The sequence below is a fragment of the Homo sapiens genome, chromosome 1 (genome assembly GCF_000001405.40).
Source record: "Homo sapiens chromosome 1, GRCh38.p14 Primary Assembly".
Lineage (NCBI taxonomy): Eukaryota > Metazoa > Chordata > Mammalia > Primates > Hominidae > Homo > Homo sapiens.
Window position 1 is genome coordinate 206,510,989 of NC_000001.11, and position 19,013 is coordinate 206,530,001.

General features: G+C 46.4%; 1 protein-coding gene and 1 pseudogene across 2 annotated transcripts in view; both read left to right on the forward strand.

Annotated features, from left to right (window-relative positions):
• The window catches only part of RASSF5 (Ras association domain family member 5), an 81,918-nt gene that overhangs the window by 3,458 nt on the left and 59,447 nt on the right, over nt 1-19,013 (forward strand). The window lies entirely within an intron of this gene.
• On the forward strand, nt 17,905-18,778 carry RPL7AP20 (ribosomal protein L7a pseudogene 20; annotated as a pseudogene).

The following is a 19,013-nucleotide window of genomic DNA, read 5'->3' on the forward strand; positions in this document are numbered from 1 at the left end:
TGGAAAACACTCTTCCCACTGTCTGCCTTTTTAGCAAAAGTTCATCTAACCTAAGCTTACCCCACTTCAAGGTCTGTAACCAACCTCTGGTTAATGCTGGATTTGTGAACAGGGAAGTTCAGAGTTAATATTAATTTCTAGGATTAAAGAACTCCTAGTTGTGAGATAGAGAAGGAAATCCAGTGGGGATCTGTGGAAAGGCAGAGAGAGAACGAAAGGTCCTGTGAGCCCATGTGTGTGTTTTGGGGTAGGGGTGATGGTGATGGCGAGAATGCATTTCTAGCATTCTAGGAGGGAATGGTCAACAGCAAATAACCAGAGAAACTCACTGGCTGCCCTTTGGCTTTATTCTCAGGGACTTCCCCTTACAGATGACGTCCCTTAGTGTTCCTTCTGTAGAAGGCGCATGGAGGTGGCCTTTTACCTTTCATCTCATTTTGGTGGCTGCGTAAGCCATCCTGGACCAGGGGATGGTCTGGCACTTGGAGAAACCTAAGCCTGACTCAAACCCTCCTGGAGATGCTTAGACACACCTTGGCCATTGTCAGTGAATGCCACCTGTCTGCTCCTGGAGTCGGAGTCTCTCTCCAGAGGGGGCGTTATTCAGAGCTGTGAAGTGTTAAGTGATTGGAATTACATGGTTGAAAGGGAGGCCAACTAACCTCCCCACTCTGTGATAGATTTTAATGATGTGACTACAAGGCCCTGCCATGCAGCCCTCGGGGAAGGGCACCGGGACTATTCTTATTAAGAATGGCTGATATCTCCCTGGGCCTCTAGTCTGGTCTCTCTAGTCTTGTTGCTACGCTATTGGCTGGGTTCAGCTCCACTTTCTGCACTTTCTGCACAGCTGGAACCGCCTGCGTGACAGCCCCCGATCCTGCAGACCCATCCCCCGCTTGTGGGTTCTTTGTGAAAAAGGCTCCTGGGACATTGGCATTGATTCTTTCTGTAGCAGAGAAAGGTCTTCATTTCAGGCCTCTCAGAAATCATCCTGTGTTGTTCTGGCGGCTTCTGTATTTATTTACCTTGGGCACTTGGAAGGTATTTGCGCACCCAGCAGCACTGAGTGTGTAGCGTGTGTTTTCCTTGATTTAGCCCCGTGTTTGGCTTTAGAGTTTAAGAAAATGAAGCACAGAAATGGAAATTTTGTTGTTAAAGATTGTGAGAATCCCCCACTCCCAAGCCCTCTCCTACCCCTGGCTCTAACTGGGATCTTCTTCTTGGGCAAGGTCCTGTTGGAGGATGTGTGCGTTAGGGGCCAGGGAAAGGACCTGGAATGCTTTCAAAGAGGCCTTCTGAGCTTCCCACGCTGCAGCCCGTTTTTCCTCTCCTCCCTGCTTCCTGTCTTATCAAAAGATGAAAGTGAAAGGATTAAATGTGCGCTTAATTTTCCCCACTATTCATCAGAGCATGAAATTTTCTGATTATGGAGTGTGGGGGGCTTGAATCCCAGGTACAGTCAAAAATGATTAATGCCACTTGTCTGCCAGCCTAATTAGACTTGGTAATGAACGTGTGTGTTTGCCTGCTGATCCTGCGGAGTTATTAGGTGGAAGTGAATTGACATCTCCCCGCAGCACTGAGGGTTTGGTCTGATATCCTCTCTCTTCTCCCCAATTCTACCGGCGAGCCAGCCTGTGCCAAGCCTGGCAGGTAGTCCCTGAGTGACAAAGAAAAGACAGCCCCCAGCCCAGTCCCAAGGGCCCTGCCTCGGTGGGAGAGTGAATTTATCCTGTCAGGGAGCTACCTCCTGTGAAGTGTGAGCAGGTCAGGGGCCAGAGGCTCAGGGGAAGCTGCCGCAAGGCCGAACCCAGGTCTGAGAATGGGCATAAGAAGAATTCTTTGCATGTCAGTAGTGCCTTTTCTCTGAAGAGCCCAAAGTGTTTTCATGCCCGCTGCTACATTCATGCTCAAAATAGTTTCATGAGGTCAGAATACAGGGATACAGGGATGCTTAGCTCAGCTGAAAGGGAATTACCTGGCCAGGAGTCACCTGCTGGCTTTGCCAGGGACAGTGGTAAAGTTAGAACCTCTCGGGCGGGCCTCATTCTGACAGGTCTTCAAGGCTTTGGTGCTGTCTCAGGCCCTCAAGCCATTTCCCCCGCTTTGGGCTTCAGAGTCAGCACCTCTGTGTGAGAGGCTGCTACCTGAGGTGGGATGGCCATGGGTGGGTCCCAGCTCCTGCACCCCAGTGTTCTCCCACAGGGTTCTCTCTGGCTCCCACACCCACCCCTCATTCCTCAGTTTCCCCATGGAGGGCAGCTGCTGGCATTCTTGCTCTGCCCAGGCTTACTATGAAGGCTGCTGAGGAACCTGTAAACACATCTCTGGCCTCACCAGAGGCCCTTCCTGTTCGCATTCCTCAGATGGCAAGGTGAGTATTCTTGGGTGGGTGAGTATTTGTGGGTGTGCAAAGCATGCAAGCTCCCCACCCCCAGCCCTTCTGAGGGAACCATGTTCCTGGGGCTCAGTCAGCACCAGCTGGTATGATTTCCTTCTCACAAGCTTGCAGACCTGGGTCTGTGCTGGTGGCAGGATGCTTTCTGCCTCCCTGCAGGGTCTCGCTCTGTCTCTGCTGACTCTGGGCACCTGCCCCTCCCGCAGGGCTCTGTTCTGACTCTCCATGGCTGGGTGGGGAAGGGCTGGCGGCAGCTGGGAAGGCCGGGCCTGACTGGGGAGATGGTTTTGCATTTAGTCATTTTCAGTTTTTTTCCAAGACTTTTGGCAAGCCTTTCTCCACATGTTCCGGGCTGGATCTCAGGGTCGGAAGGGGAACAGAGCCAGTTTTGGGGCTTAGGGGAAACAGCGAGGAGGCTGAGGTGATGACGTTAGACCAGGCAGAAGGCTGGGTTCCCTGGGGGCACTGGTTTAAGTGGAATAAAGTCGGGGCTTGGGAGCAGTCATGGGTTGCCCCACCCCAAGGTCAAGACTATCTTGACTCACACCTGGGGAAGTGACTTTTGAGTTTTTTCTGAAGCACTCATAACTATGCTGAGGAGACTTGGGCAGAGCCTGGTAGACCCCAAGAACTCTCCATGGTGTGGTCTTTGGCTGAAGTGGCCCACAAGGCCATGCCGGGCCTGTTCTAGCATGCCTGTGGTTCCTAGAGTACACAAAGGTTTGTGAGAGATGTACCCATTGGGAAATCTTTGAGGTTTGATTCTCTTTTTTTACCCTTTTTGGAGAGGAAGGAGGAAGGGCAGTGGGGTCCCTCCTGGCATCATAGCATGTGTCCAGCCTCCCAGGGGAGAATGCCCCACTTTGGCTGAGGAGTCTGGTGACCCCTGGGAATTGTAGCAGGTTCTAGATTTTCTTTCGGATTTTCCTACCTATAACTACTGCCCTGGCCCCATTTGAGGGCATGGGGCAGAGGGATCGGGGGGAATGCAAGATGTGCATGCTGAGGGTCTATAAGAGGGGTGGTGTTGGAAAGAGTAGTCTGTTCATTTTTGTGTGGCACTGAGCAGGTGAGTGGATGGCTGAGTATGACACTTACCTGTGACAGGTTTATTCTTCAGTGGAGGGCCTATGTGCCACCTTCTGCTCCCCATTCCTGTTTTTTGAACAAACATATTTCCAGGGTGGGGCAGGTCTTATTTAGACATCTGCAATGGCCATTGGCTGGGGCTGCTAGAAAATTAAAACTTGGCTTACATAGACCTTTAAGAAATCAGACTCCAGGTTCATGAAAGTCAGGCCAAAAAGAAGAGTGATGTTCTTATTTTTTTAAAATCCTTTTATGTTTTGTTTCTACTGGATGCTAGAGCTGGAAAAGAATTATCATTGTGTTTGCTGAAGATACAAGCTGGCATTCTGTGAACCTGCTAGGATGAGTATATTCACATGGAATAGGAAGAGTTGAGAATGGCAAAGAAACTGTGGGAGCAGAAATAACTTTTGTTGCACTTGGCTATCACTAAGGCCGTTTGATGTGCACTGCCTCTGTCAGGATTGCAATTCTGTTTCGTCGGTAGAACTGATGTAATCAGGGCCATCTCATAGATGAGGAAACACAGCATTCAGGGAAGTCAAATGACTTCGCTAAGATAACCCAGATCATTAATAGCAAAGCCAGCACCAGAACCCAGCATGGCATTTTGCCTTAGGCTAATATCATTGATCACGCAAGTTAGTTGAGTTTACTTATCCATCTGCTGCCCTTCTGCTGGTGAATGCTGAAATGTCCAAAAAAGGAGGTACAGGAAAAAAAGGGAGGTGAGCCCTATACAAGCTAGAGAATCAGCCAGGGCTGGGTAATTGAGAGTTGGCTCCACTTAAGCCAATTTTCAACAATCAGTTTCTAAATTGATTGTCACCATGTGCAAATCATGAGATCTTTAGAAAAAGGGTGAAGTTTTTCCAAATCCTAAGATGAAAGAAATAAGTGTGTCTCTCCCCGCTCCCACCTCACCCCGTAGGTGTTCAGGGTGTGTAGGGGGTGGGCCTGGAAATGCAGGTGGAGGATCTTTTTCTGTTCCAGTCCTCCTTCTTGCCATGGCCCAGCTCTCAGAGTTCATGACACAGCACTAGTCAGGAACCAAAGTGAAATTAACAGACTGGATCCTAGAGGGGACAGCTAGGGTGAAGAAGACATGGATAGGGACTGGACAATAATCTGAAGCTGCCTAATGGACCTCTGGCTCTAATCTCAGGCAGTGATGTGGCCCCATGAGAAAAAATACATCTGGGGAAACCTCCCACCCCCAAGCCAGCTCTGACTCTCTATATTTCTCCAGGTTCATCTCTTATTTGGGAACAGGTACCATTGCTTACTTTTCTTGCTGATTTGCAGGAGGCTGTTTTTTCTATCCAAGTTGAATGGAAGTTGGAGACTTGGTGGTCTCTGCTGAAAGAATTATGTGGATTATTTTTTGCATCTGAAGAAAGTATTAACCTCCCCCACCTCAAACAAAACCTCAGAGATGCCTTATTATTCAACTGGAACAGATTCCAGCTGTAACATGAGAGTTTTGAGAGAAAGCGTTGAGCATATTGTCCATGAATGTCTACCCTAGTGATGAGTGTTTTTTAAAAGCCATCTGGAGGTACCTTTATATAAAATAGGGTGATAATATATTGTACCCCAGCAAGTAAGATGGTGAAGGTTGTTGCTTCAAATTATGCTGGGCCATGGCTGAACTTGCCTCCAGCATGGAGGTCATTGAGTCATTGCTTAGATGTCAGAGACAGCAAGAGGTCATTGCAGGCATTTCCCTGTCTCTAGGTAGTGCTCCTCCCAGACCATCATTACAGTAGAAAAATCTATCTAGTTTTCCAAAGGTCAGGAATGAAGATCCTAGAGCTTCTGAAAGCCCCATCTCCAGACTCTGCCAGTTCTTTCCTGTTGTCTTTCCCAATGGCTTAACCTGTCAAAGAACAGCTCAGTGATGAGGAGAAAAGAGAAGTGAGGTCAGCATATTCTGCAGCCCAAACGGTGCATTCGGAAGGGATTTCCCCGCATTACACGTGACTTTTTTTTTTTTGAGATGGAGTCTCGTTCTGTCGCCCAGACTGGAGTGCAGTGGTGCAATCTCGGCTGACCGCAACCTCTGCCTCCTGGGTTCAAGTGATTCTCCTGCCTCAGCCTCTTGAGTAGCTGGGACTACAGGTGCGTGCCACCACACCCGGATAATTTTTTTGTATTTTTAGTAGAGATGGGGATTCACCGTGTTAGCCAGGATGGTCTCAATCTCCTGACCTTGTGATCCGCCTGCCTCGGCCTCCCAAAGCGCTGGGATTACGGGCATCAGCCACCACGCCTGGCCGTGACTCATATTTTAAAGTTCCCCCAGCAGCCCTGTGTTCTCTTCTTTGAGGGCGGGGATGGGAATGAGCCCTTGCCTGTGCTCAGCCAGGCAGGACTTCCTAGGCCCTCTTGGAGATCTTGGGTGCAAGGACCAGCAGGGCAAGGAACTTGGCCCCCACCCCTTGTTTGATGGTCCCAAGTGTCATTTCAGGACCCGGACTTGCTTATGCCCTTCTTCTGGTACAGAGGTTGCTTGGTAAACTAGAGAGGGCCACAACAAAGGCCATGGGCAGCTCCCTTCTCCCTGAGGAAGCATTAGGGAGAAAGAATCAGTCCGCAACTGAGGAAGGGTGGCATCTGAGCACAGACGTATAAGTGCATCTTCCACCAGAGATTCTGCAAGTGTGTGAGTCCTCTGAGGTGGATTTCCTCTGGTTAAGGGATAGGTGTCCCTGCTGGGCATGGAGGCTTCACCCCTGTAATCCCAGCACTTTGGGAGACTGAGGCAGGATGATCTCTTGAGCCCAGGAGTTCGAGACCAGCCTGGGGAACATGGTGAGACCCCCACCTCTACAAAAAATATAAAAATTAGCTGGGTGTGGTGGTGCCCACCTGTAGTCCCAGCTACATGCTGGGGGGTGGGAGAATCACTTGAGCCCAGGAGGTCGAGGCTGCAGTGAGCTATGATTGGACCATTGCACTCCAACCTGGATGACAGAGCAAGATCCTGTCTCAAAAAAAAAGAAAAAAGAACAAGTGTCCCTCCTTCATGTTAAGCTGGTCCCCGCTGGTGGTTGGCAGGTGAGTCCTGTCATCTCTGGGCAGCCTGGGAGGGACACCCCTCTCTAGTGGCTTTTCTGGAAGGCTCTGCTGCCTGTCTGGTGCCAGTCTTCTGTCTTGGACTGGGCAACAGGGCCTCCCAGAACTTTTCTACTAGGGCTTGGCAGCTTCTGGGAGTCAGAGTGAGAGAACACCTGTGAGTACTGTTTTGGGGCAAGAGAACAATATTTCTGCCCTTTTGTGACAGACTGATCTTTTCTCACCACCCCACACCCATAGGGTCACATCCGCTTCTGCTCAGGTATCTAGTCTCAGAAAAATGAATGGCCTGACCCTCTTAAAGCAACACCACCTCCTTATGGGCCCCTCCCCCACCCTGGGCTTAGCATGGGAGGATGTGAATTAGCCCCAGTTTGTCCCTTAGGAGCCTGTACAGCTGGTGAAGCATTAGTAATCCACCATCCCCAAAGAAATCCATTAACGAGCTCCTGGGCTGGGCACGTGGTGTGAGGTAACCGATCACTTCTGTCGTCTGAAACTTTGGAGACATTGATTTTCAGACTCACAGGCGCGACTGAGAAGTGAGGCTCGGGGCAGGCTCTTCCCTGCAGCCTGTTTGGTGGGGGCATTTTTATCTTATCAAGCTAAAAGCCCCAGGAATAGAAAGTTTTCCACTGGGGGAGGTGGAGGGGAAAGGACCTCAGTGCGGAGACAGAAGGCATCGTCAGTCGTTGAGGGTACCAGAGCCTGAGGGTCCAGGTGACTGTCCAGGTCATGCGAGGCCCAGGGCCCTCCCCGGAGCCCTCCCCCACCCGGCACTCCACCCCTGACGCCAAGCCTGGAGAAAAGCTATTGATCTCTGGCGCTGAGATGACCGAGGGCCAGGAGGAGAAGGCAACCGCTGCCTGCTTTGGGACAGTCACTGCTCAGCTCCAGCGGCTCTTCTGCAGGCTCCCGAAGAGCCGCTCGGTCTCCAAAAAGCACCAGATCCTGCAGAGGTTCCGCAACGGGGCCCGGAGGGCTCGGGGTAGGTCTAAGCCAATCTGACTGGGGGAGCTTGGGTTCTGAGGCCTCTGCTACTGGCTTCTCCCATAGAAAAGGAGTACAGGATCTTTCTGGCAGTCTGCTGTTTAGTGCTGAGCTCAGCACCACTCCTTGGCCCTCCTGACTCCGCAAGGACAAAGGCACAGGTGCTGTCACCTTGCCTGGTATGGGTTGAACAGCCAGATCCAAAGGACATGGTCTGCCTGTTTTGGAGGCCTTGAGTGGGTAGTGGATTTTAACAACTTTTTATTGGCTGAGAATTAGGGCCAAGCGGTCGTCTTAATCAGGGTCCCTGAGCTGGCAGAATATGGGTATCTCGGATGGCCACTGTTTTCCATTCTGCCTATCCTGTAGCCCTTCAGACCCTGCCAAGTTGCTGAGTCAGCCTTCTGAGGACCTGGGAGCAGTGATGTTTCCCAGGCAAAGGCTTCTCACCTGCAGAGTTAGTGAAGGTGCAGGCTGCATGGGGCTGAAGGCTGCTGGGTGGAGCACAGCTGACAGGAGTCCCGGCCTCGGGAAGTGGCCAGACCACTGATTCCTCTCCTGAGCACTAATTAGGGCAAGAACAGTCCTCGCCTGAAGAAGGATAACTGGACGGCATAGCGGTGAGTGAAAGATAAGAGGCAGAGACAACAGCAATCCAAATCATCATAGGATCTTAGGTCATCCCATGCCCCTTTTCCAATGAAAGGAAGCTGGGACCAACAAAAGGCCCTGCTGGTGGCAGTGCCAGGACTATGAACCCTGGGCACCTGCCTTCCAGCCTTGGATTCCTTCCGCTGTCTCATGCTGTCCACAGCATCTTACACTTCTGTAGCACTCTCTGCTAAACACTCAGAGCATTTACGTTTGTTTGCTTTTAATATCATTTATTCCCTCCAGATCCTGGTGTGGTGGGAATGGGAAGGGGATTATTCTGTTTCACAGATGAGATAGCTCAGACAAGTAAGGCCCCTTGTTAAAGGTCATTGCCATCTGGCTGGGTCTGGAACCTGCTTCTCTTTAACGGTTGGCACTCTTTGGAGCATACATACTTTTCTTGGGGCCCCCTGTCCCCATTTTTCTCTATACTTCTCTCATATACTTTCAAGAATCAGTGGGGATCTAGGCAGGTCACCACACTAAGTCATAGGGATGGGACTAAAATGAAGTGCCATCTCTGGACTAAGTTTTGGAAGCAGATTTTTAAAAATAGGATCTTGACTATGAAAAATACGATTTTTCTGATTAAGGCTTTACCTCTTGAGAAGTGGGAATTTTAATTCAACTAGCCCTAATCCCCATTTGGAGACAAATATTTCTTAGCCAGCCTGAATAATTTATCCTCATCAATATCCTAATACATACTGTGACCTTCACTGAGAAGAGAATTGGACACCGAGTTGCTCAATTTAAATGCTCACGAGCAAGTTGGTATTCATCCTCTCTTTCCCCCTCCCTTACTCTCTCTTTAAGAATTATTCAGCAGATCATTTCCTCGCTCCTTTGCTATTCAGTCCAAGGAGTTATAGATTTAAGTAAAATCAATCAGGCCTGAAGGGGCAGCATTAAGGTCAGGGCACATACCGCACTGTGGCTATGATGGGCTTGCTTAACTTGTGTTAGCATTTGGGCTTAATTGCCAAAAGAGGAGGGGAGAAGACAGGATGCTCAAGATGATGGGAAAGGTGGACTGCAGACTGTGGACATCTGGAATATCCTCATCTCACTCACAAGACTCCATGAGCAGCCTGGAGTGTGGCATTTAAGAAAATGGGTTTGGTGGCCGGGCGCGGTGGCTCACGCCTGTAATCCCAGCACTTTGGGAGGCCAAGGCAGGCAGATCACCTGAGGTCAGGAGTTCGAGACAAGCCTGGCTAACATGGCGAAACCCCGTCTCTACTAAAAATAGAAAAATTAGCTGGGCAAGGAGATGGGCACCTGTAATCCCAGCTACTCGGGAGGCTGAGGCCGGAGAATTGCTTGAATCCGGGAGGCGGAGGTTGCAGTAAGCCAAAATCGCGCCACTGCACTCCAGCCCAGTTGACAAAGCAAGACTCCATCTCAAAAAAAAAAAAAAAAGAGAAAAGAAAACAGGCTTGGAGCCAGGCTGCCTTGAGTCAGGATCCTGGAGTTACCACTTTCTGGCTGTGGCTCCTCCTACAGATTAACCTCTCTGAGCCTCATTTTTCCAAGTATAGGATAGGGCAGAATATCTCAACCTCAGACTGGTGTGGGGTAAATTAAATGTCAAACAGTTGAAACCATGTTTGGTGCATAGAAAGCCCTGCACTGGGAGCTGCTGTTGCTGAGTGCTCCCAGGAAGACTTTTCATAACTGCTCCCCGTGGGTCATTGGGACAAGCCTGCAGCACGGCTGTCTGCCCCTCCATTGTACCTGGACCAGGGTGGACTGCCTGCATCTCAGTGGGAGACATAGGACTTGAAGGTTGCCCAGGTAAAAGTAGAGGAGAGACATAAACTCACAAACACATTCCCTGGAAAAATTCCTATCATTGAGTTTACCACATCACATAATTAACAGGCAGAGCTAGATTAGCCCACCGGGTATCTTTAGGAGCTAAGCAAGCATGTCGCCAAGGAGCAAGTCATATGTCATTTTAAAAGGCTGCTAGGGGGGTCTGTGGGAAATAGGCCTAGGTCTCTCCAGAAGTCTCTGGTGGTCCTGGCTGCAGCGATGCAGCTGTAAAGAAACCTTTGTGTGTCTCCAGCAGAGAGGTCCTCTGACATAATCTATTTACTTTCCTTCCCACTGCAAAAAAGCCTGCTTTCGCCCGGTTGATGATTGGCACTTTGAATAGCTGCAAGTGACATCAAAGCAGGTGTGGAAAAACCAGTTGGATGTAGTAGCCTGGTTGTCCCATGATAGACTGAACCTGCCTGCTCCTGGCCTCCTGTGACCTCCTGGCACTAGAACTGGGCATACCTGCGGTGCATTCATATCTGTATTTCTGCATGAACTTCATCTGCCATCTTGCAGTTTGCATATGCCCAGCCAGGTCTCCTTGCAATCCTATTTGGCTGTCCTTATCTTTGGGGTCTGTGGCATACTACCACAAATATACTCTAGGCTAACAAGAGGCTAGGCTGCCCTTTGCCCCTTCTCAGAGATGATTGTCTGCCTTAAAAACAGAAACACAAGCAAACAAAAACAACCCTCCCCTTCTCTTTCCGTATGTGCCCCTCACTTCTAGAGCCCAAATCCTTTGTCAGCTACCCAGGGTCCTCCGTCTGTCTTCTCAGGGGCCCAGGGATGGGTGAGAGGGCCCAGAGCCCAGGGCTGGGAGACCTCTGCTGCTTTGTCTCTCTTACACCCAGAGCAAAGTGACACATGCCTAGACGAGGGGCCCCTCCTGAGCAGGCCTGGGGCCGAGAGGGTATCTGGCAGCTCCACACTGGCTTTGGATATCATGGGCTTGTTGCTATTTGTTGAGTTCCCTTAAACCCAACTGCCTACAGTGTTTTAAATTATTTTTTTTTTCTTAAGGTGCCTGGCAATAGGATTTCTTTTTTCCCGTGGTGATGATCAAACCAGTATATATCTTTACTGAGCTTTCTCTCTCTCTCTCGAATCCTTTCATACACTTCTTCCTGTCACACACAGTCTTGGTTGTGACTGCCTGTACTTTGTAACAGTGAGCTATGGGAGGCCCTCAGTCAGCACATGGTGAGTGAATGCAGGCCACACATGCACAAATGAACAACTGGTTAGGAGCTGGGTAGATGTGGAAAGAGGGGAGACGGAACCGTAGAAAAAGGTTTAGTTCTCTCCCTGTGTATCTCTGAGTACATGTGTCCTGATGGTCACACATAATTTAATTGCCCTGTTCAAAAACTGTGCTGTGTCTTTGCACTTCTCTCTGCATGGCCATACCCTAAATGCAGCGTGAGCGTTTTCTGATGTGGTGTCGGAGGGTCCAGGTGACAAATCTCTCACATTCACTGAGGAATGAGGTCCATTTGGCTTGCTCGCCCCAGCACCCTCCCCCAAACCATTTACTTTTACACTTTCTCCCAAAATAGATTGCCTCTTACCATTCTTGGCCAAGGGGGGATTCTCAGGACTGCTCTGTGATGTGCACTGAGGGCCTGCAGACTTTCCCACCTCTTTCTGCTCCCTCCACATTTTCTCCTGGCCATCACTGTCATCAACAAGCCGTACTGCATGAGGCCACAGTGCCATGGTATAAGAAGCTCAGTCAAATAGAGGTGCATCTCTTAAAGGGGCATACAGCATCATCAGGAAACATAATGTATATAAAAATTACAAAGAACCCCCTAACATGTAGTCAAGCCAAAAATGAATTAAAATTTAAAAAATTTAAAATGGTTTAGCTATTGTAAGATGACTAGATTCATTTAAAAGTAAAGCTAATTTAAAAGTAAAGCTAATTTTAGACAACAGTGGGCTCTGGTTAAAACAATAGAAATGTTATAAACATTGCATGTATAAAAAAATATATTCCAGGCGTGGTGGCTCACACCTGTAATCCCAGCACTTTGGGAGACTGAGGTGGGCAGACCACCTGAGGTCAGGAGTTCAAGACTAGCCTGGCCAACATGGTGAAACCCTACCCTACTAAAAATACAAAAATTAGCCAGGCATGGTGGCGGGCACCTGTAGTCCCAGCTACTTGGGAGGCTGAGGCAGGAGAATTGCTTGAAACCGGGAGGTGGAGGTTGTGGTGAGCAGAGATTGTGCCACTGTGCTCCAGCCTGGGTGACAGACCAAGACTTTGTCTCAAAAAAAACCCCATATATACATATAAAATATATTTATATATTATATATTTTATATATTATATAATATAAATATTATATTATATAAATTTAATATAAATATAAATATTATATATTATATATTATATAATATATTTTATATATAATATATAATATATTAAATATATTTTATATACAATATATAATATTATATATTATATATTTTATATATTATATATTATATATTTTATATATTATATATATAAATATATATACACTCTAGCCTGGGTGACAGAGCAAGACTCTGTCTTAAAACCATATATATTTTATATATATATAAAATATATAAAATATATTATATATAATATATTTATATAAAATATATAAAATATATTATATATAAATATATTATATATAATATATTTATATATTATACAATATATTTATATATTATATATAATATATTTTATATAATATACATAATATATTTTATATATTATATATAATATATTTTATATATAATGTACAATATATTTTATATATTATATATAATATATTTTATATATACTATACAATATATTTTATATATTATATATTTTATATATATTTTTCATGTAACATATATATTTTATATATAATATATATACCATATATAATATATTTTATATATAATATATATACCATATATAATATATTTTATATATAATATGTATATCATATATAGTATATTTTATATATAATAGGTATACCATATATAATATATTTTATATATAATAGGTATAACATATATAATATATTTTATATATAATATGTATACCATATATAATATATTTTATATATTATAGATACCATATGTAATATACTTTATATATAATATAGATACCATATGTAATATACTTTATATATAATATAGATACCATATGTAATATACTTTATATATAATATAGATACCATATGTAATACATTTTATATATATTATAGATACCATATGTAATACATTTTATATATATTATAGATACCATATGTAATACATTTTACATATATTATAGATACCATATGTAATACATTTTATATATATTATAGATACCATATGTAATACATTTTATATATATTATAGATACCATATGTAATACATTTTATATATTATAGATACCATATATAATATATTTTCTATATATTATATATATAAATATATATATGGTTTTTTTTTTTGAGACAGAGTCTTGCTCTGTCATCCAGGCTGGAGTGCATATATGTTTATATATAAAATACATATAAAATATATTATGTATAATATATAAAATATATATTATATATTATGTATAATATATAAAATATATATTATGTATAATATATAAAATATATATTATATATTATGTATAATATATATTATATATAATATATATTTAATATATTATATATTATCTATATATAAAAAATAGGGGATGGGGCAGAAGAGATGGGAAGGATTGCTTTCACTTGTCCTAGCAGGGAGTCAGTTAATATAGTCTATAGTTGAAGCACGGATTGCTAAAAATGGCTCAACACCATTACATTTGTTTATAATACACATGCACACATACACACACACACTCACACACACACACATGCACAGGGCAGAGTGGGGACATGCTTCGGGCTACAGCACCCCCAAAGAACAAAGTTGTGGAAACAGGCCATGTGGAGAAGGTGCCAGGGGTCAGGCCTGTCTCCTTTGTCCTGGGTGCCTGGCAGGCACTCCTCTTACTTCCTGCATCATTTGTCTGAACTTGTTGTGAACTATCCTGCCCTCTCTTCCTCTGCCCACTCCTCCCAAGACACCCCTACTTCAACACACCCAGCCTGGCCTGGCCACAGTACCTTCCTTTTGTTGATGTTTTCAGCCTAGGGATGTGTGGTTGTGTTGGAGATGGATGATTAATGTGCCTGCCCGAGAGGCACACCCACCCACACCCACCCACGTGAGACAGGATGGTGCCCCTGCAGGCCAACCAGGGCGCCCAACTTCTGCCAGGCAGGTTGGGTGTGTTTGGGAGGAGGGCACAGGGGACACATCCAGCCTTCCTGGGAATGTGGCTTGGAGAATAAATCACTGATACATTAGATCCAGGGACCCAGGTTCCAGAAAGAATTTTTCTTATTTTTTAGAGATAGGGTCTTACTCTGTCCCCCAGGCTGGAGTACAATGGACCGATCATAGCTCATTACAAGCTTGAACTCCTGGGCTTGAGCCATCCTCTCGCCTCACCCACCTGAGTAGCTGGGCCTACAGGCACACACCATCCCCCACCCCACTAAGGTTTTAATTGTTTTGGAGAGCTGTTTTACAAAAACAAAACAAAACAAAACAAAATTGTTTTAATTGTTTTGTTATGTTGCCCAGGCTGGTCCCAAATTTCTGGCCTCAAGCAATCCTCCTGCCTCAGCCTCCCACAGTGCTGGGATTACAGGCGTGAGCTACCTTGAGGGCCCCAGAGAGAATTTTAATATCTACTTTGGTGTCTGAGCAACAACTGAGCAGATCTTATGCCTTTCCCTTTAGTACAAAATGGTCGCTAAAAGTGTATGTCAATCCCATCCAGCCCTGCCACACAGAAAACTGATACAGTCATTTTGGAAGAGAGTAAAGACCAGGATCTTGGGGTGGTCTTTGGCTCTCTTTCCTGTGCCTCAGTTCAGCAGAGGCTCCCAGCTTCACCCCACCTGTCCAGCACTTTCCCTTCTCACCGGCCTTGGAGGAACCTGCTTCCATAAAGCCCTCCACCCCAACCCACTCTTTTACATGGGAACTCAGCATCTGAACCAAACTGGAGCTTGCTCAGGTGCATCCCCTCTTGGCTGTTCTCACAGAGACGACAGCCCCTGTGTGTCAGCTGCCCATCTTGCCTGTCCACATGAGGGGCTGGCCATCTCTGACCTTAGAGTTGCAGGACACTCGTCTTACCATTACATTGACCTTTCCTGTTTGCTTCCTGGCTTGCTTTCTGGCAGTGTGTGTGTGTGTGTGTGTGTGTTGGAGTTGGGGCTGGGGTTGTGTGGAGGGAGGGAGCAGTTGTGTGCCTCCAGGCCCTCCGGGCTGGGCTGCAGGATGCTGAATGCCCCCAGGGTGGTCTGTCCTCTAAATCAAGGAACTACAGTAAGTGGTCTCAAGAGGGCTGAGCTTTGCCTCCTTCCTGGAAACATAAGGATGCAGATGTCCTGACCTGGCTGCCTGACCCTTGGAGTGGGGAGTTTCCATTCCCTTGCTGCCAGCCTCACTAGGAGTTTAGCCAGGAGTTTGAAAAACTTATAGATCATGTTGATTTTGGCAATGGCTGCAGACCTCCAGGCTTGACTATCACAGTCTCTCCGCCTTCCCATTCACCAACATGACCTATCCTTCCAGCCCCCCTGCCTTACTCCTCTGCACCCATTAAAGGCAGAAGTTGGAGGGAAGTGGGAGCAGGTGGGAGGAACTCAGATGAGCAGGAAAGTTGCACAGTTCTTCTTACCCTAATACGTTAGAAGAGGACCTGAAAATTGAGAGGGTTTTTGGCTGGCATCACATGCTGAGTCCACAGGAAGCTGGGTGGACTCAGGCATCTCATAGCGTTGAAAATGACAGCTGCCATTTATTGAGCACCTACCATATGCCAGGTGCCGTTGGATGCTTTGCATACATACTCTCTAATTTTGGCAACAAATTTGCTGGCAAGAAAGATACTACCACCGCCATTTGCAGTTGAGGAAATTGAGGCTAACTAAATTCCACAGTTAACTGAGGTTAATTGTCCAGGTTTCTCATACCCAGTTAGAGGGAGGGCTCAGGCTCAAACCCTGATTCATGTGACTCCAGAGTCCAGATTCATTGCACGCCCCAGCACCCGATTGAGTGTTCCATCTTTTCCACCCATTCTCTAAGACCTCTATCACACATGTTAAGCAGTGTGTTTCAAGGGATCACACCATCTGGGTAAGGATTTCTGATGTATGGCTGGTAAGTGGGTGCGCTCTGGTGCCAATCTCTGAGGTAGTTGGTTCTGGGAACTTGGCGTCCATTTTGGTGTCATAGGGAGGGGGTTTGCAGAGGCTGGGCCTCTTTGAGTGGGGAAGGCTGAGAGCCTGCTGTCTTGTGGAGCCTGAACTTGGCTGAAGTGCTGGCCTTTCTGGTGAAATTGTCCTGAGAGCTCAGGACAGGAACCTTTGGCTGCTGCCTGGGTGGTTCCAAGTCTCGCAGATATGGTGTTCCAGAGACAAAGGGGTCATGGATGGAGGACCAATTCAGAGCAGGCAGACAGTATGGGTGGCTTCAGAAACTCCCAGGATGCTGGCAGCCTCCAAGGCTGAGTGGCTTGGTTGAGCTTGGAGGAGAGCTGTGAAGTGGCACATCCCAGGCCCTCCAAAGACAGGACCGAAGCCTCAGGTGGGGTACTCTCCCTGCTCCCTGCTAGGACAGAGGAAAAAGCACTCCTTGCCCAAATGCCTTCAACCCAGGCTCTTTCTGGCCTTGGGCCACCCTGACTCCCATCCCCAGTGAAGCCCATCCCTGGCCTCAAGCAGTGCAGAGTAGGGACCAGGAACAAGTGGAGGGGACGGTTCTGAGGAATGGGCTGTTGAGGAGCAGCCAGGCATGATGCATCTTCACTCTCCACCCTGCTGCTCGCCAGCTACAAGGCTGCCAAAGGTCATTTATCTCTTCAAGTCTCAATTTCCCTATCTCTAAAATAGGAGTAGATCCAATGAGTTAAAAACTTATGTCCACAAAATAACCTGAATAAAGTTGTTTATAGCAACTTTATTCAGAGTTGCCAAAATTTGGAAGCAACCAAGATGTCCTTCAGTAAGTGAAGAGATGAATAAACTATGGTCATCCAGATAACGGAATATTATTCACCAATAAGAAGAAATGAGTTGTCAAGCCATGAAAAGACAAGGAGCCTCATAAATATATATATAGCTACTATGTACCCACAATTTTTTTAATTAAAAAAAAAGACAGGGAGATAATACTAAGTGAATGCATAGTACTAAGTGAAAGAGCCAGTCTGAAAATTGGCTACGTATCTTATGATTCCAACTATATGATATTCTGGAAAAGATAAATCTATGGAAACAGTTAAAAGATCAGGGGTTGCCAGGGTTAGAGAGGAAGAAGGGATAAATAGGCAGAGCACAGCGGGTTTTTAGGGCAGCGAAACTACCCTGCCTGATGCTATAATGGTGGGTGTATGTCATTATACATGTGTCCACAGCCATAGAACGTACAGCACCAAGAGTGAACCCTAATGTAAACTATGGACTCTGGAGATCATGATGAATCAGTGTAGGTTCATCAGTTGTGACAAATGTACCACTCTGGTGGGGGATGCTGATAATAGGGGAAGCTGTGCAGCATATGTAGGGGCAGGGGGTATAAAGGAACTTTCTGTATTTCCTGCTCAATTTTACTGTGAACCGACATTGTTCCAAAAAAGTCTATTTTAAAAAAATTAGTGGTAGCCAGGCACAGTGTCTCACACCTGTAATCCTAGCACTTTGGGAGACTGAGGCAGGGAGATCACTTGAGGCCAGGAGTTTGAGACCAGCCTGGGCAACATGATGAAACCTCGTCTCTACAAAAAATTAAAAAATTAGCTCTCTCCTCGCATTGCCCAAGATGCTGAAAGGAAAGAAGGCCAAGGGGAAGAAGGTGGCTCCTGTCGTGAAGAAGCAGGAGGCCAAGGAAGTGGTGAATCCCCTGTTTGAGAAAAGGCCTAAGAATTTTGGCATTGGACAGGACATCCAGCCCAAAAGAGACCTCACCTGCTTTGTGAAATGGCCCTGCTATATCAGGTTGCAAAGGCAGGGAGCCATCCTCTACAAGTGGCTGAAAGTGCCTCCTGCGATTAACCAGTTCACCCAGGCCCTGGACCGCCAAACAGCTACTCAGCTGCTTAAGCTGGCCCACAAGTACAGACCAGAAACAAAGCAAGAGAAGAAGCAGAGGCCGTTGGCCCAGGCTGAGAAGAGAGCTGCCGGCAAAGGGGACGTCCCCACTAAGAGACCACCTGTCCTTCGAGCAGGAGTTAACACCATCACCACTTTGGTGGAGAATAAGAAAGCTCAGCTGGTGGTGATTGCACATGACGTGGATCCCATTGAGCTGGTCGTCTTCTTGCCTGCCCTGTGTCATAAAATGGGGGTCCCTTACTGCATTATCAAGGAGAAGGCAAGACTGGGACGTCTAGTCCACAGGAAGACCTGCACCACTGTCGCCTTCACACAGGTTAACTCAGAAGACAAGGGCGCTTTGGCTAAGCTGGTGGAAGCTATCAGGACCGATTACAATGACAGATACAATGACATCCACTGTCACTGGGGCGGCAATGTCCTGGGTCCCAAGTCTGTGGCTCACATCGCCAAATTCAAAAAGGCAAAGGCTAAAGAACTTGCCACTAAACCGGGTTAAATGCACACTGTTGAGTTTTCTGTACATAAAAATAATTAAAATACTACAATTTTTCCTTCAAAAAAAAAATTAACCAGGTGTGGTGGTGTGTGCCTGTAATCCCAGCTACTCAGTGGGAGGATTGCTTGAGCCTGGGAGGTCAAGGCTGAAGCGAGCCATGTTCACGTCACTGCACTTCAGCCTGGGTGGCACAGTGAGACCCTGCCTCAAAAAAAATAAATACAATAAAATAAAAATTAAAAATTGGGGTAGAAACACATATTGCCCAGTCATAGTATGGATTATATGAAATAAT